The sequence below is a fragment of the Homo sapiens genome, chromosome 4 (genome assembly GCF_000001405.40).
Source record: "Homo sapiens chromosome 4, GRCh38.p14 Primary Assembly".
In the NCBI taxonomy this organism is placed as follows: domain Eukaryota; kingdom Metazoa; phylum Chordata; class Mammalia; order Primates; family Hominidae; genus Homo; species Homo sapiens.
The window spans coordinates 169370017-169371123 of NC_000004.12; the positions used below are offsets into that span (position 1 = coordinate 169370017).

The window sequence follows — 1107 nt, forward strand, 5'->3', positions numbered from 1 at the left end:
CTAAGCAATGCTAAGGTTCACCTAATTTGATTCCCTTCACTAAGAGATCCTTGTTCTATGCGGCCTTGTGTCCAAAACTATATTTTGTGGGTTTTTTCTTTTTCTTTTTCTTTTTTTTTTTTAGTTGTTTAAGGTAGGCAGGTGTAACGGTTAATTATATGTATCTACCTGAAGGATGTTTTTGGAGGAGATTAACATTTAAATCAGTGAACTTGGATGGGCCTCATCCAATCAGTTAAAGGCCTGAATATAACAAAAAGACTAGCCTCCCTGAGCAAAAGATAAAATTTCCAGCCAGCTGCTTTGGACATTATCTGCATCATTGGCTTCCCTGGGTCTCTAGGTTGCCAGCCTTCAGACTAGAATCACACCACCAGCTCTCCTGAGTCTTAAGCCTGCCAGCCTGTATTATGGATTTTGGATTTCTCTGCCTTCATAATTGTGTGAGCCAATTCCTTATAATAAATCTCTATAGATATATAGGTCCTGGGCCGGGCGCGGTGGCTCCTGCCTTTAATGCTAGCACTTTGGGAGGCTGAGGCAGGCGGATCACCTGAGGTCAGGGGTTTGAGACCAGCCTGGCCAACATGGTGAAACCCCATCTCTACTGAAAATACAAAAATTAGCCAGGTGTGATGGCATGCACCTGTAATCCCAGCTACTTGGGAGGCTGAGGCTGGAGAATCGCTTGAACCCAGCAGGTGGACGTTGCAGTGAGCCGAGACTGCACCACTGCACTCCAGCCTGAACGACATAGTGAGACTCTGTCTTAAAAAAAAAAAATATATATATATATATATATATATATATATATATATATATATATGTGTGTGTGTGTGTGTGTGTGTGTGTGTGTCCTATATAGATATTAATAAGATAGGTATATAGATATACAGATCCTATTGGTTCTGTTTCTTTTCTTTCTTTCTTTTTTTTTTTTTTTGACGGAGTTTCGCTCTGTTACCCAGGCTGGAGTGCAGTGGTGTGATCTCAGCTCACTGCAACCTCTGCCTCCAGGGTTCAAGCCATTCTCCTGCCTCAGCCTCCTGAGTAGTTGGGACTACAGGTGCCCACCACCACACCTGGCTAATTTTTGTATTTTGAGTA

The 1107-nt window shown here is 42.5% G+C and overlaps 1 annotated feature.

Moving 5' to 3' along the window:
* Positions 216 to 442: a silencer, noted in NCBI's record as "fragment chr4:170291383-170291609 (GRCh37/hg19 assembly coordinates)". NCBI's record gives its function as "represses an EF-1alpha promoter that drives an FKBP-Casp9 reporter gene in an ReSE screen in HepG2 liver carcinoma cells {active_cell/tissue: HepG2}" and the evidence as "EXISTENCE:reporter gene assay evidence [ECO:0000049][PMID:32094911]".